Below are 23,805 nucleotides of genomic sequence, written 5' to 3' on the forward strand. Positions count from 1 at the left end.
TTTAATGGAAAAGCAAGAGAAAAGCAATTTTAAATTAAAATTTTGCTAGGGAAAGGTTGTATATCCTTTGGCCTACTTATTTAAGAAAACTTATACCTAAAAGTCAGAAAGTGCCTTTAAATGCCAACTTGTATTTTATTTTCCTTTGAGAGTCAGCTTAGAGTTTCCAACAGCAACAACAATTATTCAGCAATTCAAATTCCAACAACAATTTCCATAAGAGTTATAACATGCCATACTTGGTAACTAAAGCATCCTTTGGCTTAGCATGTTCTTACCTGAGTATTTAAAGGATTTTTTTCTGTTCCTGTCTTTTATAGAAACAGTAAAAAATATACTCGTGGGCACTGCCCTTTCAATGCCACTCTTGTACCTGATGCTATAACACAACAGTGTACTTCCAAGCTTAGGCTGTTCCATTATCCTTCTCTCTTGTCTGAAACAGAGCTACACTGGAATTCTTGATTCTGACATTCAATCGCAGGAAAATGTAGGAGTATGATTGTGCTGACTGTAAATCTCAAAAAGGAATGCAAATGGCTCAGAGGTAGACCAACCTCACTGTAATTTAGGAAATCTAACAATCAAAAGAGAATATTCTTAAGCAGAGAAAGACACATTTTACAGCACTGCTTTCCAGATACAAAAAAGGAATGGGGTTCCTTGGTATCAAATTTTATATCATATTTTAACATTTATGCCAATTAAACTTTAAAAGATTAAAAATCAAAAATAAAAATAATTCATGGTTAAGATGAAATTAAAAGTCTGCTTTCAGACTCAGTAGAAATAATTCAAAAAATGATACATCAAATCATGGCACATTTAACAAGGTTAGGAAGAAACTGTAGGGGAACAAAAAACTACAGGAAATGTTCATTGCATCTTGGGTTCATTGTTAAAGAAATAATATATAATTCTAGCTATTAAACTCCTAGCCTTTAATCCTATAGCATATTTCTCCAATCAGGTGGCTGGCTATGGAAATTTATTTACACCAATTGGTAATTCCCTTAGCAAAAGTTAAATTATTATGCAATTTCACATTTCACCAAAGAGAAAAACAATGAAAACGAAATTTATAAACAAAACCAGAAAAGTTTTACTCCACATGAAGGAAAAAAAACACAATTGCTATGGTTCTTGTATTCCCTATTCAGCTACTTCAGCGCTGTGCATAAACTTTTGTAGTCAGCACACACATAGAATTTAATATGGCATTTCTTAACTGTTTATTTTTCTAGACATCTTCATTCTTTTTCCCAACTAGTATTTCTTAACATATAGGAAAATTAATACTCAGTCCCCTGGTATAAATAAAAAATTTATGCTTTTAAAAGCATGTATTTACATTTTATATTAAATTTTTATATTTAAACATTAAATATTTGTTTTTGTTTATAATATTTATTTTTACATTTAAATATTAAATACTGTATTAAACTTTTAAATGGGAAATATTTCTAAGTTGCTAACTAGAATCCATTTGAGCTATGCTAAAACATGAATATTTGCTTCATAGTTTTTTATTGAATATTTTAAATGTTCTTTTTCTATTTAAAAAGCTATGCATGTAGTTTGAGTTGTCGTCAATATATATAATTATGGGAGTCACCAGGAATCCTGTACTCTGTAAGGGAAAATGCAGGTCCCCTCTGGTTAGTCTAGAAATGTTTCATGGAAGAGCAGAAATTTGGTGTCAGCTTAACAACAGGAGAGACATACTTTGGCAGATTTGTTTTGTTAAATTAAATTAAAATGGACACTGGGCCTAGAGAATCTCTGAGCAGACAAAGCCACTTAGACCTCATAAGTAACCTTAGTCTTGCTTGATTTGCAAACATAAGTGAAACTTAACTTGAGCTATTTCTTGTAAATGCCTATATTAAAGAAAAATTAAACTTAAGGATAACCAATCAGAAGCTGACAAGTAATTTATATAATTTAGGAGCTTTTCAGCAGAATAGACAAATAAGGCAACTGTATAACTATAACCAATCAAGTATTTTCTTGACTTTACTTCCATGTTCACCCTATAAAAGCCTCTCCTTGTGTTACCTGAGCTGAGCCTCCAAACCACTCCTGGTTTAAAGCTGCCTAATTCATGAATCACTGCTTACTCAAATAACCTCGTTAAAGTTTTATACCTCAGTTTACCTTTTTACAGTTTGAAAGAGAAAAAATATCTAATTAAGGCTTATGAGGCTGTTTTCCTAAAGGTTTGCCATTTGGACTCAAATGACTGTATCATGGGAGCTTGGGACAGATTTGTCTAATATGATCAAAGACTCATGAATCAAAGAATAGAAACCAAGAAAATTTAGTTCCAGGCTTGCTCCATGAGGCTCTGCTGTACAGTATGTGACTCTTTGCATTCTGGAGAACATAATCAGCAACAAGTCACTGCAAAGCTTTGACGGCAGATGGGAAAAAGCATTTTAGGAAGAATTTTTGCCCCTTTTAAGGGGTAAAACGATAGGTGAAGAAAACAATGCCGACCACACAATGACAGTGGAAACTGGAAGGCAGGTGAAGTCAAGGAGTCTGGGAAAAGTGGGAGAGGTATGAGGGGAAAAGATGAAACAAAAATGAAATTTGGTCTTGCAATAAAGTACATGTACAGAATAAAGAATGCAGAAGAGGTAAAAATAACACTAGCCTGTGGCTTGAAACAGGAGACTGATGATGATACCACTGCTCTGATCAACAGTGGGGCAGAGCAGAGGACATGGAAAAGAGATACGTTACTGTTCTTTGCATCTCCCATTGCCATGGAATTGCCATCCCCATCTGTCCTGTATTCAGGGTACTAAAAATCCAGAGAGTGAGCAGGTAAAAGGAAAATTACATTTATACTTCAAAGCTCTTGCTATCATGTGAGGCCAACGCTTACCATGTTACTGCCTTGCTGTTTCTCTCCTGTCCTTAACACTCTGTCACTGACAATTGCCCCTCAGGCTGTTGTTTCTGAGTACAGCAGCAGTTCTTTAGCTGTGATGTCTCCTTCTATTGTTTTAATCATCTATGGTCCCAAAATACTACATACAATTTTCCACACAAAAAGATATTTCGAGAGAGAGAGACCACATTCACATAACTTTTATTACAGTATACTGTTATCATTGTTCGATTTTCTTATTAGCTATTGTTAATTTCTCCTTGTGGTTATCATTGTTAATCTCTTGTTGTGCCTAACTTATAAATTAAACTTTATCATAGGTATGTATAGGATGTATAGGAAAAAAGTATAGTGTTTATAGGGATCATTACAATCTGCAGTTTCAGGCACAAGCATGCATGCACAGACATATACACCTTCCAAAGCCAGAAAACAGTATCAGAATTAAATGTTAAAAACTATTTCATTAATTCCCCCTTAATGTTATTTTGTGGAATGACTTTTGCTTTCTGTACTTCATCATATGAAAAATTTCTTTGTAATCCCTTTCATTTGTTTCACCCATACCACGTCATAAACAGTTCAAGATCCCGGTAAATGAGAAGAAATGTTCCTATTTCATCCTTAGTCAATCTACTCTCTACTGTGGTACTAAAGAAAAAAAAAATCACAGTCAGTTCAACCCATTTTTAAACAACAGACATGCAAAAGAAGAGCTGTTTGGGGGTCCTGGATTAAGTTTGCTGTATTTTCAAAGAGCCATACACTGTGCTGAAGGAACAGCAATGCAAGCATGCCATGGAGAAAAAGGCAAAATAAAAAGAGCTACTCTCAGACTGAGCATCTAAGAGCCAGCTCCCATTATAAGCTAAGTACCTCTACTTTGGGACAGACAACAGATAATCTAAGTAACCCAAATATTGAACTGACTTAACCAAATAGGCAACAAATTATATCAAAGAGAAGAAATGAAATAGCAGGGAAAATAGAAAACTACTCAGGAAATTGTTTATTTGAGAAATGTGATCATAGTCACAAGAATGCTTGTCTTTAATGTATTTGGCTAAGACATCATCTTAGCAAGCAGCTGTTGTCCTTTGAAACAGTAAAAAGAAGGAAGTTCTTCCAGTGGGAGAGGAGGTGATGGTATTTTAGTCAGAAGAGTAAGGAAATAGTAAAATCCTGGCATGTCTAATACACTTGCCTTACATAATGCTCTAAGCCAATTAATTTGATCGGACTCTATGCTGAGCTCAAAGTTAAAATAAATAGGAGAGCAGAACTTGACCAGTGAATATACCTAATCTAACATGGCCAATAGAATTAAGTCAGCCGCCAATAATCTTGGAACTGGGTCCAGGAATGAACAAAACTTAAAAATTTAACAAAATTTAAATTTGTTTTACTACCATCAGATAAGATTTTTGTCAGGTTTGTTTTAAACTTTAACGTGTTCACAAAGAATTGTGAGTAAAAATTTCACATGGAAGGTACATGGGAAGATCATAATTTATACCTAATCAAGACAGTTACATAAACTCTAAATTATTTTAGGAGCTGATTCTTGTGGGAAAGATGGCTTATTCTCTCCTGCAAGCTATGGCTGCCTTTCTCTTTTGAAGTTCTTATTAGAGAAGCTATCCATGGCTCATTCCATTTGACTTCAGACAAGTTATTCCAGTGTTTTCTACACACGTAATGTGAATCCCTGAATAGCTACAGAAGGGTTACAGCTTGTTCAGCTGTACATTTTTTAACTCTGTCTTCTCTTAGGAAAGTGCAAGAGCCAATTGAACATTCAATTTTCTCTTTGAGTGTGGTAGGACTTTTGGACTCTCCTCTTGTTCTTTGGTGTCCTTTAAGGAAAAACAGCAAATTGGGAATTGACATAAATCAACAATTGGAAACAGACAGTTACTTTGGAAGGGACCTTGGAATTTATATGATGAAATCTTTCATCCATTTATCAATCCTTTTAAAAACATTTTTGGGCCAGGCGCAGTGGCTCATGCCTGTAATCCCAGCACTTTGGGAGGCCGAGGCAGTTGGATCACGAGGTCAGGAGTTCAAGACCAGCCTGGCCAAGATGGTGAAACCCTGTCTCTACTAAAAATACAAAAATTAGCGGGGCCTGGTGGCACGCGCCTGTAATCCCAGCTACTTAGGAGGCTGAGGCAGAGAACTGCTTAAACCCGGGAGGAGGAGGTTGCAGTGAGCCAAGATCGTGCCACTGCACTCCAGCCTGGGCGACAGAGCAAGACTCCGTCTCAAAAAAAAAAAAAAAAATTTGGAGAGAGTTTTCAATTTCGGCTTTGAAATCCTTTAGTGGTAGGAAGCTCCTTATCTCACAAGGGAATCTATTTAACAATTTTCCAACTCTGTTTAGAAAGTTGCTTCTTAAAAGAAGTCAAAAGCTACCGCTCTAAAACTCCTAACCATGAATCTTACTTCTGCCCTCTAAAGCAAAAAGCACAAAGTAATTGCCTTATTTATACAGCAATCCTTCAAATATTGAAAGACTCTTATTTCCTTGTATAGTCTTCTCTTCTCCATGCTAGTCATCCTAAGCTACTTTCTATGTATTTCCACAATTACATCCACTTAACAAAGTCGTTGTGAGTACTCAGTGAGTGAAAGTTCTGCACAAAAGCTGGAAGGTAGTAAGCATGTTTACAGTTGTTCAAAATGTGAAATTACTAGTACAAAAAGATTTCTAGGTCTTGTTTTCTCTGTCTACATTTCTGAAGAAATCAGAAATCCTTTTGGGAACACTGTCTAATTTGTAAATATTGATATCCTTCTTCAGACTTGTTGAGTAGAACTTAATGTAATCTTTCAATTGAATAGTGGTCAGAGCAAAAGTCTTGCACTTTACTTTTGATGATCAGGACCTGAGCACTCACTGTATCCTTTTGTGTGTAAGGAATCAACCCATCATTTTGTTAGCCTTTCTGGAAGCAACAGAAAATGGCTAGCTCATTTAAATGCCCTAAATTATTTTCATTTGAACTACTACTAAACCAGTTTGCTTCCTTTTTTAATTTTGCAACATTTGATAACAGTTCTATAATGAGCTACAGGAAAATTAACTCATGACTAAGATTTAGATTTAATTTATTTATCCTCTATTTCTGTCATTAAAAACAATAATTAAAGCATATATGAAAAAATAGACCACGAACAGATAAAATATATTCTGTACTGACAAGTATCTTTATGAAAGTAATTCCTAGAAAAAAAATTGGCAAATGTTTCAAATTAAACTAAGATGTTTGCTTATGGACACCTTAAAATCACCTTGCAAAGAGATTTATTTTGTTTTATATCACTTATTATTTTGCATGAATATTCAGAACTATTTAAATATCTAGATAAGAAAACAAATTTTATTTAGACAACTTCGACTTCTGCTTGCCAGTAATTATATACAAGACTCCTTTGCCTAGTTGGTTTCATATATAATGATCAAATACCTTCCAAAGACAGCCATCTCCACTTTCCACTCATCAGCTTAATAGATTAATAATATTCAAAAATTTCCTGTGTTTATAGGAATAGAAATATTTTAAGTAATGGGCCAACAAATTTTATTACCTTTAGAGAAAGTGATATACTATAAATAGAAAAAAATTAACAGTTGTTAACTTCCAAAGGAAATATTGTCAATGTAATAACAATACATTGTCTGCAATTTTCTCTGGAAGAGAGAAACCCACTATTTAGACAAATGTAACAGGTCACTAAGTTTGCTTAATATTTTAGTTGTAAGTTTTATTTATTACTTTCTGAGAACTGCAGCTGTTTATATGTTCAACAGAATATAGGAAGAAGAACTGGTGGTCACATCTGGTTATTTACTCCATTGATACTAAATTATAAAGACAATATAATTAGCCAAGTTGTTGAATTATCTAGAAGAAGAAAAAAAAACACTTCTCCATCTGTGAAGTTTTAGATGCAGGGAAACCATGTTGATGGCTTGAACTCTATTCTTGCTTAATGATGAAAAGAATCTACCAATCAAGTCAACATATAGGCATGGGGACATTTTACAGATGTGAGACAATCCTCCAATATTTGTGCATATTTGGTGAAGAATAAAAGGCAATTCTATTTTTAGAGTATCTTAATTTCCAAATGATAGAATTTTACCCTGAAACATGTATATTTCATGACATTTCACCATTTTTTGACATTTATATTACTAGTATTCATGAATGTCAGCTTCTATATTATGCAAGTGCTATAACATGACAACAATTTTATTTGCGTATTTATTTATATCTCTGTTTTTAAAGAAATTAGATTTTGCATTTTATAATGGATCAAACAATATTTCAGGATGAAAATTTAAAATAAGACAGATAAATGGGTAAAATGGGTAGAAATACAAAGCAGAGAAAAGAGTAAAGTTTGTTCAAAAAACATGCACTCATAATCTTAGTTGCTGGTGGGAAGAAGAAAATAATTACTTGTAAGCCTCATGGTAACACAAATTATCTTTTTTATTTGCTCAAGAATAACAATTATGCTTTATTCTTTGGCCAGAAAACAATTTCTTTCATGAGGTCATTCACTGGGAGAATACTGTGAAATGTAATACAATCAACAACACAGGCAAACCTCAGAGATACTGCAGATTTGGTGCCAGACCACTGCAATAAAGTCAGTATCACAATAAAGCAAGTCACACAATTTTTTTTCATTTCTCAATGCTTATAAAAGCTATGTTTATATTCATTGTTATCTATTAAGAGTACAATATTATTTATATATATTATATATATTATATTATATATAGGTATATATGTATTTTATATATATATATATACCTTAAGTAAAAATACTTTATTGCTAAAATGCTGATAATCATCTGACCTTCAGCAAGTCATAATCTTTTGCTGGAGGAGGATCTTGCCTCAATGTTGATGGCACTGACTGATCAGGGTGGCAGCTGCTGACTGATCAGGATGGTAGCTGCTGAATGTTGGGCTGGCTGTGGCAATTTCATAAAATAAGACAATAATGAAGTTTGCCATATCCATTGACTCTTCCTTTCATGAAATATTTCTTTGTAGCATGTGATGCTGTTTGATCACATTTTACCCAAAGCAGAACTTAACTCAAAATTGGAGTTAATCCTCTCAAACCCTGCCATTATTTATTAATTAAAGTTATTCAGTATTCTAAATCATTTGTTGTCGTTTCCACAATGTTCACGGCATCTCCACTAGTTGTTAACATCGCAGGAAACCACTTTATTTGTTCATTCATAAAAAGCAACTTCTCATCTGTTCAAGTTTTATCATGATATTTCAGCTATTCAGTCACATCTTCGGACTCCACTACTGTTTCCAGTTCTCTTGCCATTATCTAGCATATCTGCAGTTACTTCCTTTACTGAAGTCTTGAATCCCTCAAAGTCATTCAGGATGGTTGAAATCAACTTCTACCAAACTCCTTTTGCTGACATTTTTACCTCCACCTATGAATCATAAATGTTCTTAATGGCATCTAGGATGATGAATCTTTTCAAGAAGATTTTCAATTTTCTTTGCCTAGATCCATCAAGAGGAATCACTATGGAAGTTACAGCTTTTTGAAATATTCCTTAAATAATAAGACTTAAGGGTCAAAATTACTCATTAATCCATGGATTACAGAATGAATGTCGTGTTGGCAGGCATAAAAACAACATAAATCTCCCTAGACATATTTATCAAAACCTTTGGGTGAGCAGGTATCTTGTCAATAAGCATTTGTATTTGGAAAGAGATTTTTTTTCTGAGCAGTAGGTCTCAACACTGGTGTTAATATACTCAGTAAACCATATTGTAAAGAGATGTACTGTCCTCCAAGATTTGTTGTTTTATTTATAGAGCACAGGCAGATAAGATTTAGCATAATTCTTAAGGACCTTAGGGTCTTCATAATGATTAATGAGCATCTGGCTTCAACTTAAAGTCACCAGCTACAGTAGCACCTGACAAGAGAGGCAAACTGTCCTTTAAAGATTTGAAGCCAGGCATTGACATCTCCTCTTTAGCTATGAAAGTCTTAAATGGCATCTTCTTCTAATAGAAGGCTGTTTTGTTTACATTGAAAATCTGTTGTTTAGTGTACCTGCCTTCACCAATGATCTTAGCTAGGTCTTCCGGATAACTTGCCGCAGCTGCTATATCAGCACTTGCTGTTTCACCTTGTACTTTTATTTTATGGAGACAACTTATTTCTTTAAACCTCATCAACCAACCTCTGCTAGCTTCAAACTTCTTCTCCAACCTCCTCGCCTTTCTCAGCCATCATAAAATTGAAGAGAGTTAGGGCTTTGCTCTGGATTAGGCTTTGACTTAAGAGAAAGTGTTGTGGCTGGTTTGATCCATCTAGACCACTAAAACTTTCTCCATATCAGTAATAAGACTGTTTTGCCTTCTTACTATATCTGTGTATTTGCTGGAGTAACACTTCTAATTTCCTTCAAGAACCTTTTATTTGCACTTAACAACTTGGCTGTTTGGCACAAAAGGCCTAGCTTTCAGCTGACCTCGGCTTTCAAAATGTCTTCCTCACTAAGCTCAATCATTTCTAGCTTTTAATTTAAAGTAAGAGACATGCAACTCTTCATCTCACTTGAGCACTTAGAGGGTATTGCAGAGTTATTAACTGGCTTAATTTCAGGATTGTTGTGTCTTAAGGAATAGGGAGGCCTAAGGAGAGGGAGATGAGGAAATGGCAAGTCAGTGGGGCAGTCACAACTGCACAACATCTATCAATTAAGTTTGCTGTCTTATACAGGCACAGTTCATGGCACCCCAAAGCAATTACAATACCAACATCAAACATCACAGATCACAAATCACCATAGTAGATAGAATAATAATGAAATTTGAAATATTGTGAGAATTGCAAAAGTGTAGACACAAAGTGAGTACATGCTGTTAGAAAAATGTCTCCAGTGGATTTTATTGATGCATGGTTGCCACAAACCTTTAATTTATAGAAAACACAGTATCTGTGAAGCACAATAAAGGGAAGCACAGTCAAACAAGGCATCCCTGTGTACTTAGTACACACAGCAAGCAATGTCTTTCATAGGGTTATTATTTTTTATGGCCATCGGTATTAGCCCATGATGGCAAGCCAAAACAGGGTTGAATACATGCAATTTTCAGCAAGCATGATATGGTTTAGCTGTGTCCCCACCCAAATCTCATCTTGAATTCCCACATGTTGTGGGAGGAACCCAGTGGGAGGTAACTGAATCATGGGGGCAGATCTTTCCTGTGCTGTTCTCATGATAATAGTGAATAAGTCTCACAAGATCTGATGGTTTTACAAAAGGGGATTTTCTCTCCATAAACCCTCTTCTCTTGTCTGCTGTCATGTGAGACATGCCCTTCACCTTCTGCCATGATTGTGAGGCCCTCCCAGCCACATGGAACTGTAAGTCCATTAAAACCCTTTTTCCTGTATAAATTACTCAGTCTCGGGTATGTCTTTATTAACAGCACGAAAACAGACTAATACAGTAAATTGGGGTACCAATTTACAGTATTAGTACGGTAGAGTGGGGTGCTGCTGTAAATACCTGAAAATGAGGAAGCAACTTTGGATCTGGGTAACAGGCAGGGGCTGGAACAGTTTGGAGGGCTCAGAAGAAGACAGGAAAATGTGGGAAGTTTGGAACTTCCTAGAGACTTGTTGAATGGCTTTGACCAAAATGCTGATAGTGATATGGACAATGAAATCCAAGCTGAGGTGGTCTCACATGGAGATGAGGAACTTGTTGGGATCTGGAGTAAAGGTGACTCTTGCTATGTTTTAGCAAAGAGATTGGTGGCATTTTGCCCCTCCCCGAGAGATTTATGGAACTTTGAACTTGACAGAGATGATTTAGGGTATCTGGCAGAAGAAATTTCTAAGAAGCAAAGCATTCAAGATGTGACTCGGGTGCTGTTAAAGGCATTCAGTTTTAAAAGGGAAACAAAGCATAAAAGTTTGGAAAATTTGCAGCCTGACAAAGCAATAGAAAAGAAAATCCCATTTTCTAAGGAGAAATTTAGGCAAGCTGCAGAAATTTGCATAAGTAATGAGGAACCAAATGTGAATACCCAAGACAATGGGGAAAATGTCTTCAGGGCATGTCAGGTCTTCACTGCAGCCCCTCCCATCACAGGCCCAGAGGCCTAGGATGAAAAAGTGGTTTCATGGGCCAGGCCCAGGATCCCCATGCTATGTGCAGCCTAGAAATGTGATGCCCTGCATCCCAGCTGTTCCAGCCATGGCTGAAAGGGGCCAACATAGAGCTCAGGCCATGGCTTCAGAGCGAGCAAGCCTCAAGCCTTGGCAGCTTCCACGTGGTGTTGAGCCTGCCAGTGCACAGAAGTCAAGAATAGGGGTTTGGGAACCTCTGCCTAGATTTAAGAAGATGCATGGAAATGCTTGGATGCCCAGGTAGAGGTGTGCTGCAGGGGCAGGGCTCTCATGGAGAACCTCTGCTAGGGCAGCGAGGAAGGGAAATGTGGGGTCAGAGCACCTACTCAGAGTCCCTACTGGGGCACTGCCTAGTGGAGCTGTGAGAAGAGGGCCACAGTCCTCCAGACCCCAGAATGGTAGATCCACTGACAGCTTGCACTGTGTGCCTGGAAAAGCTACAGATACTCAATGCCAGCCCATGAAAGCAGCCAGCAGGGGGGCTATACCCTGCAAAGCCACAGGGGTGGAGCTGCCCAAGGCCATGGGAACCCACCTCTTGCATCAGCGTGACCTGGACATGAGACATGGAGTCAAAGGAGATCATTTTGGAATTTTAAGATTTGACTGTCCCACTGGGTATCGAACTTGCATGGGGCCTGTAGCCCCTTTGATTTGGCCAATGTCTCCTATTTGGAATGATTGTATTTACCCAATGCCTGCACCCCCATTGTATCTAGGAAGTAACTTGCTTTTGATTTTACAGGCTCATAGGTGGAAGGAACTTGCCTGGTGTCAGATGAGACTTTGGACTGTGGACTTTTGAGTTAATGCTGAAATGAGTTGAGACTTTGGGTGACTGCTGGGAGGGCATCATTGGTTTTGAAATATAAGGATGTGAGATTTGGGAGGGGTCAGGGGTGGAATGATATGGATTGGCTGTGTCCCTACCCAAATTTCATCTTGAATTGCCACATGTTGTGGAAGGAACCCAATAGGAGGTAACTGAATCATGGGGGCAGGTCTTTTCTGTGCTGTCTTCATGATAGTGAATAAGTCTCACAAGATCTGATGATTTTAAAAAGGGGAGTTTCCCTGCACAAGTTTTCTTCTTCTCTTGTCTGCTACCATATGAGATGTGCCGTTCACCTTCCAGCATGATTATGAGGCCTTCCCAGCCACATGGAACTGTAAGTCCATTAAATCCCTTCCTCCTGTGTAAATAACCGAGTCTCAATTATGTCTTTATCAGCAGCATGAACACAGACTAATACAAAGAGGATAGGCTAAAAACACAATATTTTATAGGATGTTACTCTGCTTTAATATAACTAAATACTAGTATTATATAGAAAGAGAAATCGTTATTAAAATGCTTAAAACAAAATAAGGCACAAAATGAAGATACTGATAGTACTTTCATTGAATAAATTACCCCATTCATTGACTTACAGGAAACTAAAGTTCTCATTTAATATTTTCTTCACATTTCTCTTAGATTGAAATATACATTAGATCTGGCCTGGTGCTGTGGCTCATGCCTGTAATGCCAACACTTTGGGAGACCAAGGCAGGAGTGTCACTTAATCCCAGGAGTTTGAGACCAGCCTGGGTGACATAGTGAGACCCCCATCTTTAGAACAAACTTTTAAAAATTAGCCTAGTATGATGGCAAACACCGGTAGTCCCAGATACTCAAGAAGCTGAGGTGGGAGGCTCACTTGAGCCCAGGAAGGTAGAGGCTGCAATGAGCTGTTATCGCACCACTGTACTCCAACCTGGATGACAAAGCAAGATCCTGTCTCAAAAAAAATTTTTTTAATTAAAAAACATAATAAAATACACATTAGATCTGAACACAGAATCCAAAGAGTACCTGGCTTAACTGTCATAGAATGGGCCAAAGCCTGTTTGCCAAGCACTGTTTACAGTTTCTACCTAATGATGTTATAGCTCATGTTATAGTACAGCACATTAAGAGGGGTTCTATGAAAATGCCTGGAAGAAGCACCCTTGAGGACTCATGAAGATGCCTCAGAGAGGGTGTCTTCAAAGACCCAAAGGATGAGTTGATGCTCACCAGATATAGATAGGAGGGAAGAGGATTCCAGGCAGAGGAAAAAATATGTGCAAAACCCCAAGGATACAAAAGATTGTTGAACCTTTAAGCAATTCACTGTGGCTAACAAGCACTTTTGGGAGATGGTTATAAGAATGACAACAGAGATTGGAGAGAAGGACACAGTACAAATCGTAAAGACCCTCATATGTCTGATATGGTTTGGTTGTGTCCCCACCCAAATCTCATCTTGAATTGTAGTTCCCATAATCCCCATGTGTCATGGGAGAAACCCAGTGGGAGGTAATTTAATCATGGCAGTGGTCATCCTCATGTTGTTCTCATGATAGTGAGTTCTCATGAGATCTGATGGTTTGATACAAGGCTTTTCCCCCTTTTGCTCAGCACTTCTCCTTCCTGCTGCTATGTGAAGAAGGTGGTGTTTGCTTCTCCTTCTGCGATGATCATAAGTTTCCTTAGGCCTCCCAGGCCATGCTAAACTGTGAGTCAATTAAACCTCTTTCCTTTATAAATTACCCAGTCTCAGGTATGTCTTTATTAGCAGTGTGAGAACAGACTAATACAATGTCACGTTAAGGATTTTTTACTTTTTTCTGAGAAAAACGAGGAGCCATTGAGGAATATTGAGCAAGAAAGAGACAGTAGTATATTTGAAGTAGAAAGGTCTCTCAGGCAGCAGTGTCAAGAATGATCTTGAAAGGGGTAAGGATTACAAGAGGAAGATAAGCCAGGAAGCTTTAACAATCCAGGTCAGCGTGGACAGAGGGGAGTAGTTATATTTAAGAGATATTTAGGAAGCATAATGAAAGTAATTTGTCAAATGGTTAGGAGGGTGGTAAATGGAGGAGAGATGGCAAAGATGGCATTCAAGTTTCTAACTTGGGAAATTAGGGGAAGATGTTGCCAGTGTCTGCTCAACAGAGAAAGTATGGGAGGTCTGGCAAAAAAAAAAAATTGGGGAATATTGAGTTTGGGAGATATTCTGAAAGATGTTTTGAAACAAATTGATATATAAGCCTTGTACTCAGAAGAAAGCAGTGGAATGGGGATTGAGATTTGGATATCATTACTATAGACGATGATTGAGAAAATTCTGGTTTAAACTGGCAAACACACTACTCCTCCTGACATCTGAATGGAAATTACAATATAAAATCTGAAGACAGAAATTCACCTGCAACAATGAAGAGGCAGTTAAGAAGGATTACTAGCAGATAAGATAGCTCAGGATGATAGAATGATTTTGGAAGTGAGCTGATGGAAAGCAAAGGAAGATGTGACTCAGAATACCTTATGAGGGGATGCAGTACTGCAGGAGAGCTGGGCACTCATAAGCTCACTGGAACCTTGAGAGTAACTGGGCTTAAATTCTCAGTAGTAATGGAATCTAGGATAGTTAAGAAAGCTAGAAATGGGGTGGAGTGGTAATCATAGGTCTGTCCGGCAATGAAGATTATGTCCCCACCAACATTTCTTTTTTGCCTTCCTCACAATTAAAAAAAAAATTTAAGAACACAAAAAGAAAAAGAGGAAGTATATCTAAAACAACTCATAATTATAGTTGTAATCATGTCAACATGAAGGAAGTATAAATACCAGTGAGCATAAGTCAGTGTTAAAGTTCTCCGTTGTAAGGAGGAAGACATAATTATAAAAAATAAAAAGCAAGAAGAGACACATAGAAAAGGTCAAAACATTTTTGAAATAAAAAAATGAACAAATGCAAACAGGTCTAAATATTATCAGAAATCCTAACATATAAACATGGCTTAAGCCCCTGAAACATATGAGGTGCTGAGCAGTAATTAGCATCGTTTAAACACCAGTCTATAAAGAATGAGGGATACTCACTTTGTTTATCCACTATGGGTGTAAAATCTCTGAAATTGTTTAGACCAGTGGTCCCCAACCTTTTTGGAACCAGGGACCAGTTTTGTGAAAGACATTTTTTCCATGGACAGGGAGGCGAGGGGAGTATGGTTTTGGGATGACACTGTTCCACCTCAGATCATCGTGCATTAGATAGATTCTCATAAGGAGCGTGCAACCTAGATCCCTCGCATGTGCAGTTCACAATACAGTTCACAATCCGCTGACAATCTGATGCCGCTGCTGATCTGACAGGAGGCAGAGCTCAGGCAGTAAAGCTCACTGACCTGCCACTCACTTCCTGCTGTGTGGCCCGGTTCCTAACAGGCCATGGACCACTACTGTGGCCTGTTAGGAACTGAGCCACAGGGGTTGGAGACCACTGGTTTAGGCCTTATTTCCATCTTTAGATTAGTCATTTAATATTAAGAAGGCAGCAATAAGGATTTCTATCAAATAAAAATATATAATTCCACTTTTAACCATTTTATATACAGCGAACAGTAAATTCTATTCAGTGAATTCTGAGTTTTCTCTCACTAGAAATTGATAAAGTCTTGATAAGTATGGTAATGACAATGACCTGTTCTGTTCAAGGTCCAGCTCTCCATTCTTTCACTGTCTAGTTTCTGCTAATTTTCTCCTTTATAATCCACACCATTCTGGTGCCATACTAGTTCATTTAATAGTAATTGCATATTGTTCAGTTTTTAAATAACAGCAATTTTTTCAGCCTTATTGAGGTATAACTGTCAAATATTGTATTATTTAGGGTGTACAATTATACATACATTGGGAAATGATTACCACAATCAAGCTAATTAACATATCCATTATCTCATATACCTCCCTTTTTTATGGTGAGGACACTTGTGATCTACTGTGTTCTTAGCAAATTTCAAGTATACAATACATTATTATTGTCATCATCATGTTGTAATTAATTAGGTCTCCAGGACTTATTCATCTTAAAACTAAAGGTTTGTACCATTTGACCAACATCTCCTCTTTCCTCCAACTTCTCAGCCCCTGGTAACTACCATTTTATTCACTGTTACATGAATTTGGCTTTTTAAAGATTCCACATATAAATGAGATTATGAAGTATTTGTCTTTCTGTGCCTGGCTTATTTTACTTAGCACAAGGTCCTCAAGTTTTAACGCTGTTGTTGCAAATGATGAGATTTCCTTCTGTTTAAGGCTGAATAATATTCCACTGTTTATATATCCACCACATTGTCTTTATTCATTCATCTGTCATTGGATACTTAGTTACCATACTTGACTATCACAAATAATGCTGCAATGAACATGGAAGTGCAGAAATTTCTTCAAGATACTGATTTTATTTACTTTGGATATATACCCAGAAGTGAGACTGCTGAATTAAATGGAAGTTATAGGTTTAATTTTTTTAGAAAACTCCATATTGTTTTCCATAACGGCTGTACTGATTTACATTCTCACCAAGACTGTGCAAGGATTCCCTTTTCTCCACACACCCTTGCCAACATTTACTATCTCTTGCTTTTTTTTTTTTTTACATCCTAACAGGTGTGAGGTTGATATCTCATTGTGGTTTTAAACAGTATTTCCCTAATGATTAATGATGCTGAGCACCTTTTCATATACCTCTTAGCCATTTGTATGTCTTCTTTGGAGAAATGTCTTTTCAGGTCCTGTGCCCATTTTTAGATTGAGTTATTTGTTCTTTTGCTTGTGACGTGTTTGGGTTCCTTATGCATTTGGATATTAACTCCTTATCAGACATATTATGGTTTGCAAATATTCCATTGTGTAGGTTGCCTTTTCATTTGTTTTCTTGTTTCTGTTACTGTGCAGAAACCTTTTAGTTTGATGCACTTCCACTTGCTTATTTTTGCTTTTGTTGCCTGTGCTTTCAGTTTCACATCTAAAAAAATCATAGCTGAGACCAATGTCAAGAAGTTCTTCCACTATATTTTCTTCTAGGAGTTCTACTGTTTCAGGACTCATGCTTAAGTCTTAACCTATTTTGGAGTGATTTTTGAGGACAGCAATCATTTTCATTTTTATATTATTAAAATATGTCCTTTAGTAATGTTGGTATAATGCCTGATATAACAACAGTACAGGAATTCATCCTGTCTTTTATTTGAATGGCCCCAGTTTTCTGTCTGTCTCTGACTACTCTTTCAATAGTTCTCTTTTACAAGCTAAACCTGTAAATGGGAAACTCAACCCAATCTGGTCCCTTTTTTCACATTTCCACTCCCCTCCAATCTGCCTGGTTTCTTTCACTCTCTCTAGCCTTCAGGTAGTTGTTTTCTGTAGTGTTGTCCATTGATTTGTGTTTCCCTCAAATTCAAATGTTGAAGTCATAACCTCCATTACTTCAGAATGTGACCTTATTCAGAAATCAGGTGATCACAGATATAATTAGTTAAGAAGAGGCCATATTAGAGTCGAGTGGGCCCAATTCAATGTGGCTGCCATCCTTGTAGAAATGGGAAATTTAGACACAGACTCCCATACTGGGAGAATACCATGTGAAGATGAAGGCAGAGAACAAGGTGATGCTTCTACAAACCAAGAAACGTCAAAGGTTGCTGGCAAACCACCAGAAGCTAGAATAGCGGCATGGAACACATTCTCCCTCGCAGCCCTCAGGAGGAACTGGCGCTGCTCACCCTTTCATCTCCAACTTCTACACTCCAGATCCATGCCAGGAAAAAATTTCTGTTGCTTAAGCCTCCTAGTCTGTGGTACATTATTATGGCTGCCCCAGCAAACAGATGTACTGTGAACAGAGATTATAATGGGTGGTTCATTAAGAGCTTATTCCACCAAATCAGAAGTAAAACTATCTTTACTTGCCTCAGAATAAGTTCACCTTCTCTCTATCCTTTAGTTTCCTTATTTGTAAAACAGGGATAATATCCCCTAGCAATTTTGGAATGATAAGGTAGACTGATACATGTGAAGCACTTAGACAATACCTATAACATTGTATGCTCTCAATGGTTATTAGCTACTCTTGTCCTTCACTCATTTAACTATGTCAGGCTCTGTTATAGGCACTCCAGGTACATCACCGAACAAAACAAAACAGATATAAATTTCTGCCTTTATAATGCAGTGAAGCTTACATTGCAGTGACAGCATATAGAAAATAAAATAAGTAACTTATGTAATATGTAGGCCATTAATAAGTTCTATGAAGAAAAATAAAGCAGAGACTGTGGATTGGGAAGGCTGAGATTGGATCAGGCCATCTTTTATAGGGTAGTCCAGGGAGGCATCACTGAAGGAGGGAGAAGAGTGAGCCATGTGCATACCTGGAGTAGCAGCATTCCAGGTAAAGAGAACAGCAGGAGCAAGTGCCCTGAGGCCAGAGCCTGCCTGGAATAGTCAAAGAACAGCAAGAGGGCCAGTATGGCTAGAGCAGAGTGAGAGAGGTGGAAGGCAGTAAGTAGGAGATGTGGTCAGGAGGTAACAGGTGACCAGATTGTACAGGACCTCAAAGGGCTTTGACTTTTACCTTGAGTGACGTGAGAGTCATTGGAGCTTTTAAACACAGGAGTGACAAGGCCTGAGTTACATTTTTATCAAAGCATCCTGACCACTATGTGAGAGTAGTTTTGATAGAGGAAGGGGCTGGGAGGGAAGGCCAGAAACAGGGAGACCAAGTAGAAGACCATTTCTGAAATGTAGTCTTGGGATCACATTGGCTCTGACCAGGGTTGTTCAGTAAAGGAGGAAAAACACAGATGCTATAGATGCTTTAACAGAATTTCTGGATGATTTGAATGTGACATTTGAAATAAAGAGAGGAGTCAAGGATGACACTGAGGTTTGGGTCCTGAGCAGCTGCAAGTGTATTTCCATTAATGGAATCAGGGAAGACTTTCAGAGCAACGACTTAGAGAAGCAAAGAACAGAGTTGTTGTTATGGTTGTTCTTCCTCTTTCTTATTATTGTCATTATTGCTATAATGAGGGTAGTGTCATCAATCCTTTCCCCTTTATTCTCAGTCTCATCTTCTATCAGTTTTCTTCTTTTTCTAGCAGGTACTCAGTGACGGCACACCTATGCCATGATTTGATCAGCACGTTACATCTAGCTGCTCCCTTTTCCTACTGCGATCTAGTCCCACAGACAAATAAGTGGACACAGCACATCTCTTTCCCAGGCACATAACCTTGAATCTCCCCCTCTGCTTCTACAGTCACACCTTCTCGCTCTCACCACCACAGAAAACACCTGCCTTTTCTTCTTTTGGAAAAGACACTGGTCTTTGCTTTTTCTCATTTTAGCCATTTTTCTTCCTCTTACTACAATTTTTATTAATCCTTGCACCACTTCTTACCCACTAACAATACTGTCTGCTCTCATTCCCATTAATTCTCCTATGACATCTCAATATCACAATAAATCTCCGAACCTTTCTTCCTGACTTATCCTTTACCTTTGGTCCCAGTTACAACTCTTTGCAATAGGAAAAAGTCATTTGATGTCTGTGGGTCTGTTTGCTCCTCTGTAAAATAAAGGCATTAAATGAGATTATTTCTAAAGACACTTTCAGCTTTAACTTCTGATCCAACTGATTCTGCGTTTAGCTCTTCAGTGATTTTTCATGTGTGGCAAGTTCCATTTCATTTCCTATTTCCTAACTCACTTTCAAATCTCTCCTTTCATTACTTTCTTATCATTTCCAAAGTCTTAACCACATTTTTCATCATTATTTCTTACACCAAGCCAAGTGATTTTTACCACACCTTAATGATGGTCAAAAGAGAGTGTTTTGTGTTGTGTTTTACATTTTTCCTAATGCTGGCAAGCAGAATGATAGAAAGATAATGTTTCAAGTCTGAAAGAAAACCACCTCATTCAGACTTTCCTTCACCATGAATGAGATCTTCTCATGATTGCCTTTGAGAAATCCGTGATTGAAAAGTTTTGTTAAACACCAGTGACAAGCAGCTAATGGCATAATATCTGCTTTGATTTTCTCAGACACACTCTAAGTTTTCATCCTCACTTCTCTGTGGTCCTTCACCTTTGACTTCCTTTATCATGTAACTGCCAATTTTGATCGTTTAATTGAAAGAGGAAGAGTGACAAGAAAAATAAACAATTTAGCTCAGTGGATTGCCCCCTTTACAAATAAGGAAACAAAATTTGTCCTTCTAGATTTCAGACTAAGCTGATAACATTTTAAAAATCCTGTACAGAAAGGTCTTTTTAAATGCTTTTATTTGCCAAAAGTTTTGGGTGATTTTGAAATACATTAGACATCCCATTCATTGAGGAAAAAGACAGTTTATTCCAAAACATTCTTTAATAGTCCTAAACTGATTTTGTCTATCAGAGCAAAAGGAACAAAGGTAAAAATCCACCTGAAAAAAGATCTTTGTATCATGGAAATTATGAAGCTGGATTTCTTAGACATTAAAGAAATTCACAGACCCACATAGTTTAAAAATTTAATTTTTAAGATTAAATTTTCACAACACATTATGACTGTAAATGAGTTACCTGAATACCAATTATTACCTCTAGTTATTTTTAGCAAGGGAGCTGGACTTCACTTTACTTAATGCTAGCTTATAAATTTAACTTTGTAAAATTATAGTGGAAATGTGTCCTGGCTAGCTGCCTCTGCCCAAAGCAAATGTCATCTCCCCTAAGTGCCACAGTTCTATCTCCCCGTCCTCTGAGCTCCACTGAAACTTACCTTGTATCCTTCTTGTCCCCCACGCCTTCTAAATAAGAGTCTCTTGCATCTATCAATATGTGTTTGTGGAAGAAAGGAAGGTGCAGAAAAATAAATACGCATCATAGTTTAATTAGGAAAGTAAGGGCTTTGAATCAAACCCAGCTTTGTATCTCACTTCATCTATTTATTCATCATGTGACAATAGACAGTTGAGTTAACCCTTCTGACCTTAGTTTCCCCATCTTTATCATGGAGATAATGAGACCTTCTTCATTGGATATTGTGAAGATTAAACTGGATATGATTATATATCACCTTGCACATAGAGGCTCTCAATTAAAAAAACACTTCTCTTTCTTCTATTCTAGCATATCATTCATGGTCCAATCCTGCATTACAGTTGGTTGAATGCAGGTCTGTTTCTAGGCAGCACATTTTTGAAGGCAAAGTTGTTCATCTCTGTATTTCCTGTAGAACCTAGGGTGATGAGCTGCATAGTCTGGAGGCACAGGAACTGCATATTATACTAAATTGAGAGCTGAGCCAGGATGGCCAAGGCTGTGAAGCAATTATCCATGGATTTGGTCATTTGGGCTCTTTTGGTAGTATAGTTCCTCTCATGAATTTCCACTCTGGTCTTAAAACAGCCCATCATGTTTTTAAATTAGCTTGCACAAAATACAACTAATTTCCTAGATTCTTTGGCAACTGATCAGAATACTATTCTATGTCTCGCTATAGAAACTCCTGCAGGCATATTGACTATACCCTGAGAAAGACAAAACTAAATGCACTACATGATGCTGGGAAAACAAGTTGTGATGAAAACAGTGCTGAGTCAAATAAATATAGATTATTAACTCCAGCTTGCCCTTGACTGGTCATGAGACCTTGGACAAGCTACCTATGCTCATTAAGCCTCAATTTAACTTCTTGACATCTCAACTATAAAAAACAAGGGTATTTTTTGCTTTGTTTGGTAATTTTGAGGAAAAACAACAACAAATGAGAGATAATTCTACTTTAGTTGTTACACAGGGTTGTTGGGTAGAGAAGGAAGGTGATGCCTTGGAACAGACTTTAACAACTGTGAGGCAGGATAAAAAACAAGTCCTGAAAGCCATCACTTTTTGACCATAGTGAGCTCTTCTTTTGTAACGGTTCAGGCTTCTAACCTTATTTCCTCCTTTGGCAACTGACCAGCTCACGCACACATACTAGTGATGAAATCCACATAACTCCATATCTTTTCCTCTACATGGCCAAGAGTTTCAGTGCAACAGGAAAGTGCTGTCACGGATCCATCGTGCAACACATACAGTGCTGTAAAGCAAAGGCCTCGTCTGCCTGCAGGCAGCAGGAACTGCACGCATTACCCTTCTGTCTGATGTACAGCCTAACTGCTTCGTGCTTCTTCTCATGTGTTGAGCCACAGCTTTCTTGTAGAGTATTTCAAAAATACAGCCCCAAAACAAAGCATAATCGAAAGTCATCCCAGGTGAAAGTGGTTGGCTTGGGGGAGGTCACACAGTCCTTTCAGTTCAGGTAGAATCCTTGTTTCTAGGTCATTTGACCAACATCATCCCAGGCTCCTTAGGGAAATCAGGAGGGGGCAGAAGCAGGCTGACCAGCTACAGGCTACACACAGAAGAACGAACCTTCCCAAATTTCTGGAAAAAATCTTCTTGTGCCCGGGCCAAGGCCTCTTCGTCAATGTAGACAGCCGGCCTCTTGGCCATGAGGAAATACTGCACCTTCCTCAGATTCCAGCCCATCACATACTGGAGCCAGCCGCAGACAGCCGCGGTGGAGCGGCCCACCCCAGCGTTGCAGTGCACGTACACGATGTGTCCCTTCTCCAGCAGCGCATGCAGCAGGCACACCGCCTGGGGCAGCATCTGTACTCGGCCTGCGGTGGGGAAAGCACAGCACACATGTGAATAACTAAACCACCAGATACCGCCGCTGAGGTCTCCTCCAGCACAGCCTGAAATCACAGGGCTGCACAGGGCCAGGCAGGGATACGAGAGTTTGCTTTCTTTCTGCATTGTGAAGGAAAAAGTGAGACCATTTTACAATCTGCTAATAGCAAAGTGGAAAGAGCATTCCAGAGGCCAGAGGCTCTCTCTAATCCTTCCCTGGGTATTGCTGCTCCTTTGGGTGACTTCGCCATCCATGCAAATATCCCTCCAAAGAAAAGTGACCTATCGCCTGTCATCAGAATGCACTTTCACATGAAGTTTTTGCAGAGATTGGTCAGAATTTTAGAGGATTCAAAAAAAAAAATAGTTGTCAGGTCTGGCCACCTGAATTTCAGTAAATCCAAAAGTATCTTCCAGCTAAATGTAAAACACAGAAGCGGCCCATAATAGTTAAAGGAATCAATCTGTTCATTCAACATACACTCATTTTCATTTGTTCAATGGAATGGCTAACATCATTCGATACAGATGGATAACCAATTGTTCATTTATTCCCTCGAGTTACAATGAATACTAAAACTGATTTAATTTCTATATTTTCAGGAAATTTTATAATTTGGGGTTTACTTCAAGGTTACCATTTTGATTATTAGATTATTCAAATATCTTCTCAACACGCCAGGAGAGGACACGTTATGCCCTGCTGAGGCCTGGTAGACTCTGCTCCGCTCTCTCATCCCGTGGGACAGAGAAGCGCCCCACAGTCACTTCCTTGAGCTCCTGGATGCCTGAAGTTTCTCCTGCTCACAGGTTCTCAGTACAGAGATATTTTGTAAGTTGGGTTTTTTGTTTGTTTTCAGCGGGTGATCAATGTAAATTATTTCAAAGGGAAAGGAAGAGGGAAATGAGAAAGCCCTCTTTTGAGGGCTCATGACTTGGCATTCTCTAGCTACAGGAACACAGTGGCCCGAAAGGATCCTCCGACGGTCACACACAAGAGTTCTTTGTGGCTTTCACGTTGCCATCCTTATTGGATGACCAAAGAGATGGGAACACCCCTCCCTCGAAAGATTTCACCTGGGGATCTGCCGTGAGGCCCAGAATTCTCCCATGACAGCCACTCCCATGTTTAGACTTCCCTCTT

The 23,805-nt window shown here is 38.1% G+C and overlaps 1 protein-coding gene across 15 annotated transcripts in view, besides 1 other annotated feature; it reads right to left on the reverse strand.

Annotated features, from left to right (window-relative positions):
- Positions 1-23,805, reverse strand: part of EPM2A (EPM2A glucan phosphatase, laforin) — a 352,671-nt gene that overhangs the window by 221,693 nt on the left and 107,173 nt on the right. For 12 of the 15 annotated variants that reach the window (NR_153398.2, NM_001360064.2, NM_001368131.1 and 9 more), the window contains one exon: positions 20,260-22,648. The exons of 2 other annotated variants lie outside the window; for them this stretch is intronic. Coding sequence is in view for 12 of the 13 variants with exons in the window: in NM_001360064.2 (NP_001346993.1) it covers positions 22,371-22,648 (278 nt within the window). In the remaining variant the exon portion in view is untranslated. Of the gene's footprint in view, positions 1-20,259; positions 22,649-23,805 lie in introns of those variants that run through there. One more of the 15 variants, NM_001018041.2, reaches the window with a different exon arrangement.
- Positions 18,268-18,562: a silencer, noted in NCBI's record as "tiled region #9117; K562 Repressive non-DNase unmatched - State 24:Quies". NCBI's record gives its function as "represses a minimal TATA promoter and a strong SV40 promoter by Sharpr-MPRA in K562 cells {active_cell/tissue: K562}" and the evidence as "EXISTENCE:reporter gene assay evidence [ECO:0000049][PMID:27701403]".

The sequence above is a fragment of the Homo sapiens genome, chromosome 6, assembly GCF_000001405.40.
Source record: "Homo sapiens chromosome 6, GRCh38.p14 Primary Assembly".
Taxonomy (NCBI): Eukaryota; Metazoa; Chordata; class Mammalia; order Primates; family Hominidae; genus Homo; species Homo sapiens.